The following is a 19,272-nucleotide window of genomic DNA, read 5'->3' as shown; positions in this document are numbered from 1 at the left end:
TTCAATGCCCTCCTCCTTAGAAAGAGCAGTGGCCTGCCCTGCTTCTAAAAGCCCTGGGGCTCCGGAAAGCCGACAGTGCTTTACAGGACACCTGCAAAGAGGAACAGGGGCAAATCCGAGGCGGAGACCATATGACTACGCGTGGCACTGGCCTATCCCACAGCAGTTGGTGTTAATGCGTGTCACTGGAGGCATACGGGGAGAGGGCGAAACAAAGGGTGGTGTCCAGGAACGTGCCGGTGGAAGGGGGAAACGGGTGACCTTTCCATCAATGCCAAGGAAAATCGAAAAACACGTGGGACACGCGGGGTGGGGGGGGGGCCTGTGCCTGACCCAAGCCACGTTTTCAAATGCCTACCAGAGGAGCAAAGAGGTTTCTGCAAAATTCGCCCCACCCCAAACCATCCAAGGCCCTGGCAGCCCTGACACAACTTTGGCTGCACCGAGCCCCAGGACCAGCCCCCAACCCTAGACCAGTCCCTTGGGTTCCCTGACATTCTTTTCTGCCAGATGATCAAGGGCTTCAGTTCACCCAGGAGCAGAGGAGAGGATGTCCCTCAAGAATGAGACAGGAAGTGCAGAGGAAATGCGACACCACCTGTCCTGGAAGACAAGGCCAGTCACGTTCACCTAGCGCTCATTCTAGGCAATCCAACCACCCATGAGGGGAAACGTGGAGAAGGAAGCTTCCCTGCCTGAGACACCTAAGGAAGTCAAGAGTTCCCGGGTCATGAGACCAGCCCAATCAAGCAGAAACAGGTTTGGAGAGAGAAACAATCACGGCACGGATCTCGAAGAAATGTCTCCCTGACGGACTGGGAAGCCATCTTCGTTGAAGGCATTTGGCCAGAGCTAGAGGCATCCAGGCCCCTGAGAAACAGGGGAGGCAGAGTAAGATGGAGGACAGAGCAGAGGCCGGAGCCCAGGCAGCATACAGCACCGTGCCACCGCCAAGGGCATAAGGGGTGGGGTTCCAAAAGGGTGGCTTGTCCAGGGAGGCCAGCGTTCCAGGGACAGGGATTGTTGCCATCTCTCATTCCCGGCTTCCTCTTGCTGACTGTATCGTGGTGTGGCTTCATTTCTCAGAGAAGAGCCGTGAAAAGACTCAAGCATCTTCTCTGACGTGGGTCCGCTGCTCTCCTGTAGGACAAAGAGCTCCTGTGGGATTCTGCAGTGTGTTCGTTTTGATGCTAGAAAAGAGGCTGCTCAGGATGGGGATGAGACTTCAATTGCTCCGAGACCGACGCATCTCCTCACGTGGGCCAGGCCTTCACAGAGCCAAAGCGGATCCACAGCAGCAAAAACGATTGACAACCGGCCTCATGACCCAGGCAGAGACGCAGAAAGAGGCTCAACAAAGACAGGCCGCCATGCGAAAAACCGCTTTGTGGCACACAGGGCACCTCCAGCCAAAAACACACACGCACACGGGCATGCACACACAAACCCACAGAGAGAGGGAAAGAAACACACAGAGACTGAGAGACAGAGAGAGAAGAGAGAATGGGAGACACACACACAGACACACACACACACTCACACACACACACACACAGAGAGACACACACACAGCGTCATACAGAAGAGGCATTGAAACACACACCACCAGGCAACCCCTGAGGCTGCGGGGTTCTGCTCACGATGAGAACGACCCTCGGGTGAGAGAGCAGCCCAGGGGCACGCAGGCTGACCTGTCCTCGAGATCACGGATGGCGGCACGACTTTTGGGGAGACTCACCCCAACCAACACCGTCCGGGCAGGCCTGAGGCTGGGATCCCGTGCTGCTTCCCCCGACCCCGCCTGGGGTTTCCTCATCGTGGTCGGCCCTTTGTGACTCCTGGCATCCGGAGACGTTCACGTCGACCCCGTGGAGAGGTCAGGCCGGATCCTCAGAGCCCCGACACCCAAGCACTGCCACGGAGGGCTCCTGCTTTGCCAAGCCTCGGGGATTGGTTTCTAAGACAACCGTGGGAACCACTGTGACGGGAGAAACCGCTCCCGCCTCGCGCATGCGCATTGGCTGAGCCGACTCGCGCTCCGCTCCTGGCAGTGTGGCTGCGTCCCCTTTAAATACTGCCGCCGCCTCGCGGCGGCAGCGCGGTTCCTCCTGCCGCCATGGCGGCGGCTGGATCCGGGATCCGGTTTGGGGCGGCGTGGGAGAGGGGGCCGCGGGTGTCTTGTCCTGTCCCAGGGCCAAACCCCTAGGAGTCCTGTCCTCAGGACCTCCTTGAGCCGACTTCCACCGAGGGAGGTGGAGCTTCAGGATGCCTGCTGTGTTCTCCGGACTCCCGTTCAGATCCGATTTTGGACCCCTCCGAGTGAGATAGGATAGGCTCACCACATCTGGTGAGGCAGGCAGGGCCTCGCTGCAACACAGAATGATCCCGTAGGTCTCAAGGCCTACTTGTACTGTTGTACATAATGTATATAATTGACTTTTATTCACTCGACAAAATTTCCTAAAAATACATCCAAATGATTGCATTAATTAATATTTTGTTCCTTTGATGACTGAGTAGTATTTCATGGTTTCTGGTATAAATTCATCACAAATTAAACATTCACCTGGGCTTATTGACCTTTTCAACTGTAACAAATTAAGCTGTTGTAGACATTCGTGAACAAGTTTTTGTGGGACCACAAGTTTCATCACTCCAAATTAAACACCCACAACTGCAATTGCTGGGATCTATGGTCTATGCATATCTGGTTTTTATTTTACTTTAAAAAATTTTTAATTATTTTCTCAAAATTTTATGTGTACACTGAGTGCCCACAGAAGCTAGTAAGGATACTGGGGCATTGGAGAGGAGGTAGAGAAGGTTAATCAGCACAAAAAAAAAAATGTGGAAAGAATGAATAACATGTCTGTCTTTTAAAAAAACTGTCAACTATTTTTCAGAGTGGCTCTATTATTTTACTTTTCCACTAGCAACTTATGAGTGATCGTATTTTTTACATCCTGAATAGCTTTTGCTATTGTCACAATTTTTAAAAGTCATTTTGATAGGTGTGTAGAAATATCTCACTATGGTTTTATTTGACATGTCCATGATGATTAATAATATTGAACATGTTTCATGGATTATTTGACATCTGAATATTTTTCTTGTTAAAACGTCCATTGATGTCTTTTGTCCATTACCTAATTGGATCATTTGCATTTTTTAAAAAATTTGCTGTTGTGTTTTGTGTCATCTCTATTTATTTTTGTTGGTTTTGATAGATGTTTATCAATTGATTGATTTTTTCAATAAACCAGCTTTTTGTTTCACATTTTTTTCTGTTTTCAATTTCATGAATTTTTGTTATTGTGATGATTATTTTTCTTCTTCTGCCTGCTTTCGGTTTACTCTGTTCTTTTTCTAGTTCCTTGAGATACAAGTGTAAGTTATTGATTTGAGATCTTTTCTTATTTTTAATGAAGCATTTAGTACTATAAATTTCTTTCCCACCACAGCCTTAGCTGTATTTCCTATATTTTGATATGTTGTATTTTTCTTTCATTTTTTGAAATATATTTTTAGATTTTTATTTAAGACTTTATATTTAATCCATAGATCATTTGGAACTGTGTTGCATAATTGAAATGCATTTAAACATTTTCCTGCTCTCTTTCTGTTACTGACTTTTATTTTAATTCCACTATGGTCAGAGAACATACTCTATATGACATAAATTCTTTTAAATGTATCAGGGTTTGTTTTATGGTGCAAGAAATCATCTAGTATTTTAGTTAATATTTCATGAGCTCCTGAAAAACTGTATATTCTGCTGTTTTTTGTGGACTGATTCTATATTTAGAGAGAGAGATATATATAATTGACATATATATTTATCTGTATATGTGTGTCTGTGTGTGTGTGTGTTTGTGTGTGTGAATAAAATCTTGTTGGTTGATTGTGCTGTACAGATCTTCTACATGCTTGCTGATTGTTAAATTTTTGTCCAATAATTCTATCAATTGCTGAGATAAGGCTGTTAAAACCCACAACTATAATTTATTATTTTTTAGTTCTATAATTTTTCTCTTCATGTTGTTTAAGACTTTGTTATTTGGTGCATATATATTTGGAATTGTTATGTTTACTGGTGAATTGATACATTTATTATTAGTGTTGCAGTCTCCTCACTCCTTAATTTAGTGAGGTCCAAGATCTTGTCCCACAACCAAAAGAATGAGGCACACAAATACCAGAGAGTGAGTAAGGCAAATTAGCATTCATTAAGCAACAGAAAAGCTCTCAGCAGCAAGAGTGGACCCAAACAAGGGTTGCCAGAAATGGGGCTGAGTTCTGATCCCTTTATGTGACAGAAACAAGGAAGTCCTTTGTGGGTCCTGCCTTAATGGAAGGGGTAAAATTCCCTGCTGGGAGTGTGCTGTCTGTGCATACCTAGGTTTGGCAGTAGTGACTCCATCTTGATTATTAGTCATAAGTGCCTAAGCAAAATTCATGGGGGCACCAAAACTGCAATGCTAATGATATTACAATTAGCTCTGGGTCAAGTTAAGGACATTTAGTTGATTTATTGAAACATAATTGGGACAGTCCCTTCTGAGAGACATCTTGGTATAAGAGGAAGTTGTTAACCACATTTCCACATTCTAGCTACACCACAAAGGTAGTGCAGGTGCATTCCCATGGGTGCTGTCTTTCTCCCAAGACCCTTCCTCTCTATCTGCCCAGCCAGCCTCTAACTGCCTCTTCTGTTGTTAGTAATGTTCTTTGTAAGATTTTTGAATCTAACTTCTAGATTATCAGATATTAATATAGCCACTTTTGCCCTTTTATTGATAAATATTTCCATGGTATGTATTTTTATATTATTTTACTTGCAACCTACTGATACTATTGAATTAAAGTGTATTTCTTACTATAGCAATAGTTAAGGTTGCATTTTTTTATTTATTCAGCTAATTTCTCTTTTGATTGGTGTATTTATGTCACTTATATTTAATGTAATTATTAATGTACTAAAACCTAAGCATTTCATTTTATTATTTACTACATATTCATTTGTTTTGTTCTCATTTTTCAGTTTTCCTTTTTTTTGGACTTACTGTGTGCTACTCGAGCTTTCATGTTGCTTTACTTACAATGTTTGAATACATCTACAATATACACTCTTTGCTTTGGAAATTTGTATATACTTTTTATGCTACTCTTCATATTTTAATACCTGATTTAATATCCGATTTATAAAACAATATATAAATACCAATGGTTTTACACTTTTGATTAAAGCAAGGAAGCTCAGCTTATATTTATTTTCCTTTATCTTCTATACTTTTAAGTATCACTTCCTTTAGTATCAAGTGGAGTTATAATTTTTGTTTCTATCATCAACTATGATTTATAATACTCACTAGGAAAACACATCTATTGGATGTATTCATATTTCTGCTAATTCTATTAATATATCTTCCTTCTTTCTTGATGTTCAAAATTCCTTTTTTTTCTTTATTTTGTTTGAATAACAGTTTTAGTAAACATTTAATGGTAAGCTTGCTAACAACAAATTTTTAAACAGTTCAAAAAATATAATTTTCCTTTACTCCAGAAGCATAGTTACAACATCTGTAGCATTCAGAGTTGGCAGTTCTTTTCTTTCACTACCTGAAAAATATTGTGTAACTTGTTTCTGACCTCCATTGTTTCAGATGAAAAAACGTATTTTCATTTACATTGGTTTTCCTCTATAGGTGATGTTTCACCTATAGTTGACTGTTTCTATCTGGCTGCTTTTAAGACTTTGTCTTTAGTTTTGTCAACAACCTACATTGGGGAAAGGACACAATCTCCAATACATGCTTCTGGAAAAATTGGATATCCATATGCAGAAGAATGAAACTAAACTCCTATCACTCACCTTATACAAAAATAAACTCAAAATGGATTAAAAATTTAAATGTAAGACATGAAAAATTAGACTACCATACACTGTTGTTGGTAAGTTAAATTATTTCACTTATTATGAAAAGCTGTATGGTGGTTTCTCAAAACCAAAATAGAGACACCATATGATCTAGTGATCCCACTACTAGGTGTTTATCCAAAGGAAAGGAAATCATTACACTTAAGAGGCATCTGCACCTCCATATTTATTGCAGCTGTCTTCACAATAACCAAGATATGGAATTAAGCTAAATATCCATCAATGGATGGATAGATAAAAAATGTGGTATATACATATACCAAATTTGTATATACATTCATATATATATATATATATATGAATAATATTCTGCCATAAAAAGAATGAAATTCTGTCATTTGCAGAATCATGGATAAGACTAGCGAACATTATGTTAAGTGGAATAAGTCAGACACAGAAAAATTAATACTGTCTGTCCTTACCCATATGCAGGAGCTAAACAAATTTGAGCTCATTAAAGTAAATGGTAGAATTGTGGTTATTAGATGTTGGGAAGGATGTGGGAGCAGAGGTTGGTTAATGGACACAAAATTATAGCTATATTGGAGGAATAAGTTCTGTTGTAGTGCTCTATAGCTGGTCACATGGAAATAACCATAATTTATGGTATATTTTCAAAAAGCTAGAAGAGAGGATTTTGAATGTTGTCAACACAAAAGTATGATAAATGTTTGAGGTGTTTGAAATGCTAATTACCCTGATTTGATCATTACGCATTGTACACCTGTATCAAAATATCACTCTGTTTCCATAAATATGTACAATTATTGCATGCCAACTAACAATAAAAGGACAAGATAAAGATTCAAAAAATAGGAAGAAATATCATTTTTCTGATACAATTTCTTCTCGGTGTGCCCATGTTGTTTTATGATTGCAAAGCGTTCTTTTAAGTGCTTTTAAAGTATTGTTTTCATGCTTCTTAAAATTGCTTCCAGAAGTAATGTCAAACTCATTCACCTATAGTTTATGAGATCTATCTTCCTTTAAAAAACTAGTACACTGCCCATTTCTTGTCTTCTAAAACTTTTACTATTCTCCATAATCCTCAAATATATCTAGAGCAACTTAAAAATCTCTTTCCTAAACTTTCTTATTGTTTTGGAATGAGTTCTACTCCAATGCTAGGGCCCAGGGCTCATAGTGCCTCTTCGTTCATCTTGAGATTTAATTAAAAGCAATGTTGAGTCTTCTCTTTTGGATCTAAAGATCTATTTGATGAGAAAGACTGAAGAAAAATAAGGATAAGGGTATTTCCTCCATGTTTTCATGGCACAAAATCTTTGTTTGCTAACTGTGATAAGCAGAATAATGCCCCCCCCCCACCCCTCACAAGACTGTCCCTGTCCTATTCTCCATGTCAGGAAGGATATGCTATGTTATATAAGAATATATGATGTTACAATGCAAGAAAGTATTAAGGTTGCACATGACATTAAGCTTACTAAACAGCTGAACTTAAAATAAGAGATCATACTTGATTATCTGGGGGGGGCCAATTTAATCACAAGGATCCTTTAAATGTGGAAGAGTGTGGTAGAAAATATTTAAAGATACTACATTGCTAATTGTACTGGAGGAAAGAACCAAGAGACAAGGAATGGGGAAAGTGGACAAGAGACAAGAAATGAAGACAGCCCCTAGAAGCTGGAAAAGGCAAGAACATGTATTCTCCTTTAGAGTCCCCAGAAGGAAAGCAGTGCTGCTGGCACCTTGATTTTAGCCTAATGAAAACCATTTAAGATTTCTGACCTTTATAATTTTAAAGTGGTAGATTTATGTTTCTAAACTACCAAATAAAAATATTTTGTCTTTAGTTTTTAAAAGTTTAATCAAAATATTTCTTGAAATGTGTTTATTCCGTGTAGGGTATCTTAGGCTTCTTGAATCTATACATTTGTGTCTTCTGCAAATTTGAGGTTTTTTTGAAGCACTATTTCTTCAAGTATTCTTTCAGCCTCATTTTACTTTTTTTCTGGTACACGTAATAAAAATGTTGGATCTTTTGTTGTTGCCTCACACATACCTACATCTCTGTTCATTTTATATATCAGTCTATTTTATTTATGTTGTTCAAATTGGTTAAATTCTACTATTCTGCCCTCACATTCAATGATTTTACCTTCTTGCATCTCAATGGCACTATTGACTCCATCCAACACATTTTTCATTTCTGTTACCATGTTTGTTTGCTTTTATAATTTACATTTGGTTCTTTTTTTTGTTGTTTTTTTACAAATCAAGTTTGGTTAATATTTTGCGATTTTGTTATATATTTTAAGATAATTTCTATTTGATGTTGAAACATTTTTGCTAGATATTTTAAAATCATATTCAGATGATTCCAACATCTGATGCGTTTTGGTGTTGGTGTCAGTTAACTGTCTTTTTTCACTCAAATTGTTATTTTCTTGGTTCTTTGTATGATCGGTGATTTGTAATTATATTCTGGACATTTTGTCTATCATGGCAGACAATTCTGAGCTCTATTTAAACTGTTCCTTTTGGCAGGCAGTCACACTGTTTAGCTTTAGCATGTACATCCTGGGTGTGGGGCAGGTACACTGTGTACTATTTACTAGCTTGTCTGAGTTCAGTTAAACAGAACACACTCATATGCAACAAATTACATAAAGCAGATGTATCATTTACAGACAAACAGCAAGAGACAACAGGTACCTATGTGAGCCGATCCATTACGAGCCAGTAGCCCAAGGCTCAACAAAGTTGCCTGAAGTGGATGGAATGCATGTGAAGTGCCTGAAGTGGATGGAGTGATTGTGCATGGCCCACTTGTACCACAGTTGAGGGACCCCACAAGACAGCTTGCCCTAGGTTACACACCTCAGGACCAATGGGAAACTATGGCCTAAAGTTTTGAAGAACATTCTCTGTCAAGGGAGAGAGTAACAAGGCCTAGGCTGTTTCAGGCAGTTCTTCCCTGTCTCAGGATATTGCATTCTCAGCATATACTACAGTTGCTCTTGACAACTGCAAGCAAGAAAGGGGATAATTGGGTCAGTCCAAGGACGCCTGGAAAGTTGACCTGCAGTCTCCTGCTCCAACCAAGATATTTCCCTTAGAAAAGCTGGTGTATTTCATATGCCCATTGACCTCTCCAGATCTGGAGGTGGAGGTTTGTCTTGTCAGATCAATGTAACACCTTGGCTGACTCTGTCTCAGTGAAACATCATTGAGTCATAGCCAGAATACATTTTACTAGTCCCAGGAGGACTACTACCACTAGCAGCACAGCCAGACCTCTCTGCAGTAGTAATCTAGCCCTGGGTCTCAAAGATCTAGGTAAGAGGTTGCCATAGAGGTTAAAGAAGGATTCTTCAGGTGGCCCCACTGTCTACAACCAATGGGTCAGCTTCTGGATCTCCTCTACCTATGTTTCTACAATACCTAAGATGTTTATCCCAATACAGTAAGAGGTGCTGGCAATTGTATACACTTCTCCCAGTTGAGCTAAAAGAAAGTCTGGAGGGCCGAGTGCGGTGACTCATGCCTGTAATCCCAGCACTTTCGGAGGCCAAGATAGGTGGATCACCTGAGGTCAGGAGTTCGAGACCAGCCAGACAAACATGCAGAAACCCTGTCTCTACAAAAAAAAAAAAAAATACAAAATTAGCCAGGAGTGGTGGTGCACACCTATAATCCCAGCTACTCTGGAGTCTGAGGCAAGAGAATCACTTAGACCTGGGAGGCAGAGGTTGCAGTGAGCTGAGATCATACCACTGCACTCCAGCATGGGCAACGAGAGCGAAACTCCATCTCAAACAAAAAGAGTCTGGAACAATTCTGTTGTTTAAAATAACTTTCTGGGTGGATCTGGGAGATGTTTCCTTGGCTTCTAAGACAGTGGCAATGGAGGAGGCAATATTTGCCATGGTTTGGGACAGGTTTATTTTCATTTTTTTATGAGCAATAACTCCTATGAATGGTACCAAAGATCTCATAAAAGACGTAAACCCAAAGTCAGTTACACATCCAGTCAGGTCTTTGGTAAGTCTGGTATACAGCATTAGGCTCCTGAGTCAATGGAGCACTTCATTTTGGGGGTGAATTCTAGGAGCATCCCTAGCACACTCAATGGGGCAGGACCTGTAAGTTTTCCAGGCATGACTTTGCCCACCCTGCATTTCAGTCACCCCAGATTGCCCACAGATAAAGATGTAGCCCTCTGGCACACACAGACCCCCTGTGCTAGTATTATTTATGAGGATGAAGGTATTGGCACTCACTAGCTAAGTCTCATTGATGGTAGTAGTTGCCTGAGTTTTCCTCATACATTTTACCCCATACAATCCTAAAGCCTCTACGCAGAGGGCTAGCACTCTCTGATACTTCTTCTCTTCATCATCATGAACACACATCTTTGTAATTAAAGGAGCCTGGTGCATCAAAGCACCTGCCCACCAAAGATTCATTAGTTGTGGTCATGACATTTTTCCACAAAGTTATTTAAGTTAAAAGATAGCACCTTTGAATTCTTCCTATGTGGCATGTGCTAAGTCCTCACTCAGTAAGCTAGGACTTAGGGTCCATTACTGTACTCTGTGGCATTAGGAGTGCTGGAGTAGTTAACCACTGGCAAGATGAAAGGATCGTTCTAGTCAATGAGAGAACGAGGTCGTGGATGGAGCATCCAGCACTTTGTCAGGTTACCCATGGTGTAACCATGGCACTTTGGAAGAGGCCACTAAGGCATTATGCTCACAGGCCTATAATGCCCCATCCATGTGGAAAAGCAGACTGACAGTTTAATGCCCACCTCTCACCCTTTCCAGGGTCTCAGATGTTCTCTACCTATTGGATAAGAATTAGGCTGAGTTGGTATAGCAACCCGGTCTGTCTGTTTTAGTCCCAAGCTACTTCTGCAGACATCCATTGCCCTTGTTGCTTGACTCAAACCTTTCTGCCTCAATCATCCACTCCAGTACAAAGTTGGTATATCTCATAACATCATCCACCCAAATGGAAGGATCAGAGGCATCCAGCATCATTAGAGGGATTCTAGCAGTCTGTCATTCCTTAGTCCTGTCCCCAACCCCTGTGGAATCCCCTTATAGGGGAGGTACCCAAGGGAAGTATAAACTCCAGATTAGAGACAGGGTGGCCTCTCTGGGGTACTATGGCACCCTGAACTGCAATTCATCCCCAGGACATGTACTCTATAGGGGAAAAGGAAAAAGAATGGTTGAGAACCCAGACTGAGACTTTACAGGCACAGACAGCCTAGTCAGGTGGGTTTCTCATCCACCTCCAACCCAACCAAGCTCAGTGTCCCTCAATATGCACTGCAGTGCTGTTTCCTTTGCATTGGTGCATAGTGTTTAGTGTCCCTATTGCCCTAGTCAGATGGGCTACCCCCTCACTAGCAGGACATCTTGATGTTCTTTCTTCAGTTGCTTTGTGAGTTCCATTATTCAATAACTCTATTGGCCTGAGGATGACAATGTACTTAAAAAGCCCATCTTTTTTCACTAATGTGTACCCATTATCTAGTTGCTTGAATAGTAAAAAATATTCCTCGGTCCAAGTAAAATCCCATGGGCTATGTAAAAGGATGGCATAAATTCCTCTCAAGTGTGGCTATAGTTGCCTCAGCACCCATATGATTGACATATATTTGTCTTTTTCAGACAACAAGCTGTTTTTCTTAGTCCTTGTCCTCACGTGGATATCATCTAACAGTCCAATCCTTCCATTGCCATTGTCCTGATCAGATGGCTAGGCTTTTGGCAATGGCCCATAAGTCACTGAAAATATAGCAAGATATGCGATAGAGGTAGCCTGCATGGCCATCACCACTGCATTTAGTTTGGCCCATTGGGTAGAATGCCCATGTCCAGTCTCAGTCAAAAGATAGCCAACCACTGGCTGAATGGTGGTCCAGTGCATGTCGTCTGGCAGAGCTATCAGTAAACCATGCCTGTCAGGCCTCTGAGCCCAAGCTAAGCCATCATATCCCCTGTGACCTGCACTTATACATCCAGGTGGCCTGAAGCAAGTGAAGAATCACAAAAGAAGTGAAAATGGCTGGTTCCTGCCTTAACTGATGACATTACTTTGTGAAATTCCTTCTCCTGGCTCAGAAGATCCCCCACTGAGCACCTTGTGACCCCCGCCCCTGCCCAACAGAGAACAATCCTCTTTGACTATACTTTTCCACTACCTACCCAAATCCTATAAAACGGCCCCACCCCTATCTCCCTTCACTGACTTTCTTTTCAGACTCAGCCCGCCTGCACCCAGGTGAAATAAACAGCCTTATTGCTCATGCAGTGTCTGTTTGGTGGTCTCTTCACATGGACGTGTGTGACATTTGGTGCCTGTTATCACTCCCCTGCTACAGCATGGGCTTGTAAAACCTATAAACTCTCCTTACAATTCTCCCATTTTACCTATTCAAACTCCAGACAAGTCTTACAGGTTAGTTCAGGATCTGCTCTGGCCATCATGTCTCTGTGCAGCAGTTGCCATCACCCTAATTCTTTTAGAGGCCCTAAAAATCACAAACTATGCTCAACTCACTCTCTACATTTCTCATAACTTCCAAAATCTATTTTCTTCCTCACACCTGATGCATATACTTTCTGCTCCCCGGCTCCTTCAGCTGTACTCACTCTTTGTTGAGTCTCCCACAATTACCATTTTTCCTGGCGAGGACTTCAATCTGGCCTCCCACATTATTCTGGATATCACACCTGATCCCCATGGCTGTATCTCTCTGATCCACCTGACATTCACTCCATTTCCTATATTTCCTTCTTTCCTGTTCCTCACCCTGATCACACTTGGTTTATCAATGGCAGTTCCACCAGGCCTAATTGCCACTCACCAGCAAAGGCAGACTATGCTATGGTATCTTCCACATCTATCATTGAGGCTACCGCTCTGCCCCACTCCCCTACCTCTCAGCAAGCCAAATTCATTGCCTTAACTCGAGCGTCACTCTTGCAAAGGGACTACACATCAATATTTAAACTGACTCTAAATATGCCTTTCATATCCTACGCCACCATACCATTATATGGGCAGAAAGAGGTTTCCTCACTGCGCAAGGGTCCTCCATCATTAATGCCTCTTTAATAAAAGCTCTTCTCAAGGCCACTTTACTTCCAAAGGAAGCTGGAGTCATTCACTGTAAAGGCCATCAAAAGGCATCAGATCCCATTGCTCAGGGCAATACTTATGCTGATAAAATAGCTAAAGAAGCAGCTAGCATTCCAACTTCTGTCCCTCACGGCCAGTTTTTCTCCTTCTAATCGGTCACTCCCACCTACTCACCGACTGAAACTTCCACCTATCAATCTCTTCCCACACAAGGCAAATGGTTCTTTGACCAAGGAAAATATCTCCTTCCAGCCTCACAGGCCCATTCTATTCTGTCGTCATTGCATAACCTCTTCCATGTAGGTTACAAGCTGCTAGCCCACCTCTTAGAACCTCTCATTTCCTTTCCATTGTGGAAATCTATCCTCAAAAAATCACTTCTCAGTGTTCCATCTGCTATTCTACTACTCCTCAGGGATTATTCAGGCCCCCTCCCTTCCCTACACATCAAGCTCAGGGATTTGCCCCCACCCAGGACTGGCAAATTGACTTCACTCACATGCTCTGAGTCAGGAAACTAAAATACCTCTTGGTCTGGGTAGACACTTTCACTGGATGGGTAGAGGCCTTTCCCGCAGGGTCTGAGAAAGCCACCATGATGATTTCTTCCCTTCTGTCAGACATAATTCTTTGGTTTGGCCTTCCCTCCTCTATACAGTCTGATAACAGACCAGCTTTTATTAGTCAAATCACCCAAGCAGTTTCTTAGGCTCTTGGTATTCAGTAAAACCTTTATAGCCCTTACCATCCTGAATCTTCAGGAATGGTAGGACGGACAAATTGTCTTTTAAAAATACACCTCACCAAGCTCAGCCTCCAACTTAAAACTTAAAAAAGAGGACTCTGTCAAGGATAGAGCCCCAAAACTCACCAACCAAACAAGTAATTATGCTGAACCCCCTTGAGCACTCTCTAATTGGATGTCCTTGGTCCTCCCAATTCTTAGTCATTTAATACCTGTTTTTCTCCTTCACTTATTCAGACCTTGTGTCTTCCGTTTAGTTTCTCAATTCATACAAAACTGCATCCAGGCCATTACCAATCATTCCATATGACAAATGCTCCTCTTAACAACCCCACAGTTTCACCCCTTACCACAAAATCTTCCTTCAGCTTAATCTCTCCCACTCTAGGTTCCCATGCCTCCCCTAATCCCACTCGAAGCAGCCCTGAGAAACATCACCCATTATCTCTCCATAGCACCCCCCAAAATTTTCACCACCCCAACACTTCAACACTATTTTGTTTTATTTTTCTTTTTAATATAAGAAGACAGGAATGTCAGGCCTCTGAGCCCAAGCTAAGCCATCGTATCTCCTGTGACCTGCACGTATACATCCAGATGGCCTGAAACAAGTGAAGAATCAAAAGAAGTGAAAATGGCTGGCTCCTGCCTTAACTGATGACATTACTTTGTGCAATTCCTTCTCCTGGCTCAGAAGCTCCCCCACTGAGCACCTTGTGACCCCCACCCCTGCCTGCCAGAGAATAACCCCCTTTGACTGTAATTTTCCACTACCTACCCAAATCCTATAAAACGGCCCCACCCCATCTTCCTTCACTGACTCTCTTTTTGGACTCAGCCTGCCTGCACCCAGGTGAAATAAACAGTCTTGTTGCTCACAAAAAACCTGTTTGGTAGTCTCTTCACACTGATGCACTGATGCATGACAATGCCATGCTGTCAGTAAGCATGTCTATGAGTCCTGGGCCCCAGGTTGCCACAGGAGAATCCAATGGATCCTTACAGGCTGCTTAAAAGGGATAGTTTGTTGTAGTCCTGAATTAATAAAGTAATGTCCTATTCTCCACTTACCATGTAGTACTGCTTTTGTTAAATAATCCACTGGGGCTTGGGTAGTTTAGGTGGCAGGCAGGATATGCCCCACTGTTATGGCTTGAATTCTGAGTTGTCAAAGAGTATGTCCCCTCAGGCAATGGTGATTTTTGTGCTACAAGAAGTCGGGGGGTCAATACCAATAATGCACTCACAAGTGAGAACCATGGTTACTGACATCCAATATGGACCAAAGCCATATCACAGGTAGATAAGCACTACTGGTCAATGCATTCATTCTAAAACCTTCCAGTGTCACCAGTTTTTCTCCCTAAGAGGACCTGGAAGTATTATGTGGACTCCTGTATCAAAAAAAAAAGTCTGAATTTCTTTCTTTTCTCCTCTTATCTTGACAGAAATATAAGGCCTTTGGCCTCCATTTGGGGACCCCGAGAACTTGGTCCCATTTCTGACTCTGCCATTCAGCCCAAGACATTGGATTTGCAATGTCCTTTCATCAAAGAAACATGCCTGGCCTTTCTCTGTATCTGTCCTTTAGATAATGAGTCTCCCTTTCTGTGAAGGCCTTTATCACATGTATTGATTCCTTCTCAGATGCCTCAAGGAAGATCTGAGGACCCCTTTCTTCTTTCCCTCTCAGGTGCCTTAGTGTCTGGTTGAGTACACACTTCCCTCACTCTCTGCCCCCATGAATGACAGGGTAATTAAATAAATATCCCCAACCAAGGGACCTATGCTCCTCTATTTCCTCATTGCCTTTTGTTTGCCTTGATCCATGCAGCCATCTCATTCACATCTGTGGGAAGTGGCAGACCTAAATCCGACTTATCACCCTTCCTTCCTCTGAAAATATTCAATCCCCATGCCCCCAGGCTGCTGTCTTTCCCCTGGGCTGGGTACTAGGAAGTATCACCCCTCCTGCTTCTCAAATAAGCTATGATTACATTAGATGGGGCCCTGCTTGCTGGACGCATTTTGTGGATTAGGTTTACTGTGTGCTGCTTACCAGCTTGTCTGAGTGCAGGAGACAGAATACACTCATATGCAACAAGTTACACAAAGCAGATTTGTGACTTACAGGTAGGCAGCAAGGGACAAAAGAATGCTAGGATCTATGATGAGCTCGTTCCTGAAGACTCAAGAAAGCTGTCTAGGGCACATCGAGTCTCAGCTGTGCATTCCCCACTTGCACCACAGCTGAGGGGCTTTTTTTTTTTTTTTTTTTTTTTTTCGAGATGGAGCTTGGTTCTTGTTGCCCAGGCTGAAGTTCAATGGCACGGTCTCGGCTCACTGCAACCTCTGCCTCCTGGGTTCAAGCGATTCTCGTGCCTCAGCCTCCCAAGTAGCTGGGATTACAGGCGCCTGCCACCACGCTAAGTTTTTTGTATTTTTAGTAGAGACGGGGTTTCACAATGTTGGCCAGGCTGGTCTTGAATTCCTGACCTCAGGTGATCCACCCACCTTGGCCTCCTGAAGTGCTGGGATTACAAGGCATGAGCCACCACGTCCAGCCAGGACTCTTTAAGACAGCCTGTTCAGGGTTATATACCTCAGAGCCAATGTGAAACATTGACTTAAAGGTTTGAGGGACATCTTGCTTCCAGAGGAAAGAGCAACAGGCCCAGGCTAGTCCAGTCAGCCCCTCCTTATCTCACCATAATGTATTCCCAGCACAATCTACAGTAATTATTAAGACCTACAAGGAAGAAAGGGAAGAGAACTGGGTCAATCCAAGGCCACATGGAGAACTGTCCTGCACTGGCCAATTGTTTTGGCTGTAGTTTCAATACCAAGTTAATGTTTAGAGCTTTTGCATTGTGATTTCAGACTCTTTGATTAATATGGTGCTGCTGGGAATTCCACTGCTCCCTGTTAGTGCTGCCTATGGCAGTGGAAGCAGTTTCTCCAGGTTAGGCTACCAGGTGTCTGAGGTATGTGGTGAGGGGTGTGGTAGAATCCCCCAACCAATGTCCCCTGGCTACTCTGGGGTCATTGGGAAGAGAGTCTTAGGCCTGCAGGGACAAAGCAGCTTCTTAGGCCAGGCCACTTTCTCTACTAGGTCCCTCTTCCTGATTCTATTTTCCCACCTTTGTGCTTCCTGGTAGAAAAGGAAGCCTCAAGCTGTACTGGGAAGGAGAGCACCTCTCTTAGCATTTCTCCTAGCTGCTTCTCCTGGATGGTGGTGGGTGTCTCAAGCTAGTGGCTCCTGATTGATCCAAGGGAGGAAGGAGCTTACTTGAGGTATCTTCTGTTGCTAGATTGGGGGATTAGGAAAAATAAGTCTGAAGGCCTTCTTCAGGACTTCAGGGTACACAAGATGCCTTGCTGTTGTGCTGTTTCACCATTCCTTGCATATCAAACTAACTCTTCTTCTGTTTACCTCCATCTCTTAGAGCTTTTTCATGTTAGTCACATGTGTCATTTTCAAAATATACAGTTGTGCATAACAAAAAGAGGCGGGAAAAACATGGATCTGTGCCATATTGTCTGAATCCGAAGTTCCTTGCATACTTTATACTAAATAAGCTTTATCTGTGAGCTATATTACTAGTATTTTCTTTGCCTATAATTGTTTCAGGTGTCACATTTAAGAGTTTGCTTGATTATGATATTTAAATATTACAGAATGTATTTGCAGAATATATTTGCAGAATAACAATATTCTGCAAATAATGCCCTTGATATTAAAATTGAAAATCACTTTTCGTAATAGATCAAGGAAATTAGAACCTAATGATTTAATGGTGTACACAATTGCAGCATTAGTTTTCTATTCAAAGCAACATAAAATAAATGACAAATTGAAAGAAAAATAGGACTTTATTTACTCTATTCAAATATTAAAATAAATAATAATATGTCTATTGAAATGTCATAATCAGGATATCATTTATTCCAATTAATTGATTAAATATGTAATCAGTTAAATGTCATAGATTTTATTTTTATTTTTATAGAGGGAAGATGTCATTCTGTCACCAGGCTGGAGTACAGTAGCTGGATCATAACTCACTATAACCTCAAAAAAGCCTCCCAACTATCTGGGATTACAGGTGTGAGCCACCACGATAGGCTAATTAAATTTTTTAATTTTCTATAGAGATGAGGCTCTCCCTGTTACCCAGGCTTGTCTTGAACTCCTGGGCTCAAGGGATCCTCCCACCTCAGCCTCCCAAAGTGATAGGATTACAGGTATAAGCCATCATGCCTGGCCCTAGAATTTTTAAATTAATGGTGGTTGATACACATATTTACATTGTATTTTAGCCAGATTTACTGAGGTATAATTTACTTATGCAAAATTTACTAATTTATTTATTTATTTATTTATTTATTTATTTATTTATTTATTTTTTGAGACGGAGTCTGTCTCTGTTGCTCAGGCTGGAGTGCAGCAGCGCAATCTCGGCTCACTGCAAGCTCCGCCTCCTGGGTTCACGCCATTCTCCTGCCTCAGCCTCCTGAGTAGCTGGGACTACAGGCACCTGCCACCATGCCCGGCTAATTTTTTTTGTATTTTGAGTAGAGACGGGGTTTCACCATGTTAACCAGGATGGTCTCAACCTCCTGACCTCGTGATCCGCCCGCCTCGGCCTCCCAAAGTGCTGGGATTACAGGCGTGAGACACTGCGCCCGGCCGAATATTTCCATCATAGCATATACTCGAATGCATCTTAAAGTATTTATAAAGGTAATACTCATTGTATTTACTTATATGACTTTTTAATTAGATTATAAAATCCAGTTACCTTTTAGTATGCTCAAAATTGTGTCAAATAATATTAATTCTTGAGTTAATTATGCATTATAAATTATTGTCTCTTAATAAAATTTCACGTACACTTTCACTCTGTAAAGCTGGAATGCATGTGGAGTTGCTTCAATTTTTCTTTTTTGTTTGTTTGTTCGTTTGTTTGTTTGAGACAGAGTCTCGCTCTGTCGCCCAGGCTGGAGTGCAGCGGTGGGATCTCGGCTCACTGCAAGCTCCGCCTCCTGGGTTCACGCCATTCTCCTGCCTCAGCCTCCTGAGTAGCTGGGACTACAGGCGCCCACCATCGCGCCCAGCTAATTTTTTGTACTTTTAGTAGAGACGGGGTTTCACCATGGTCTCGATCTCCTGACCTCGTGATCCACCCGCCTCAGCCTCCCAAAGTGCTGGGATTACAGGCGTGAGCCACCGCGCCCGGCCTCAATTTTTCAATTGTATTTTCACTTTTCTCTTTTTATGCCTACCTAAATTTGTTCCCATAATTGAATTTATCATTTAGGAGTGAACTTTTGTTTAGGAAAATGTAATCTTTTTCATCAGCATACTCAATATTTCAATTTTCCATTATAGATTATAAGAATAAATCTTTAGGTAATATAGGCAAACAAAATTTAATATATAGAATTAGTTTCTTACACGATTGGA

At 42.0% G+C, this 19,272-nt stretch overlaps 2 annotated features.

The window, feature by feature from the left end:
* Nucleotides 2,025-2,274: an enhancer, noted in NCBI's record as "active region_28430". NCBI's record gives its function as "activates an Ori minimal core promoter by ATAC-STARR-seq in GM12878 lymphoblastoid cells {active_cell/tissue: GM12878}" and the evidence as "EXISTENCE:reporter gene assay evidence [ECO:0000049][PMID:35858748]".
* Nucleotides 2,073-2,253: a silencer, noted in NCBI's record as "fragment chr9:46112998-46113178 (GRCh37/hg19 assembly coordinates)". NCBI's record gives its function as "represses an EF-1alpha promoter that drives an FKBP-Casp9 reporter gene in an ReSE screen in K562 erythroleukemia cells {active_cell/tissue: K562}" and the evidence as "EXISTENCE:reporter gene assay evidence [ECO:0000049][PMID:32094911]".

Source organism: Homo sapiens, chromosome 9 (genome assembly GCF_000001405.40).
Source record: "Homo sapiens chromosome 9, GRCh38.p14 Primary Assembly".
NCBI classification, from domain to species: Eukaryota; Metazoa; Chordata; class Mammalia; order Primates; family Hominidae; genus Homo; species Homo sapiens.
This window is presented reverse-complemented; position numbering and strand designations above follow the sequence as displayed.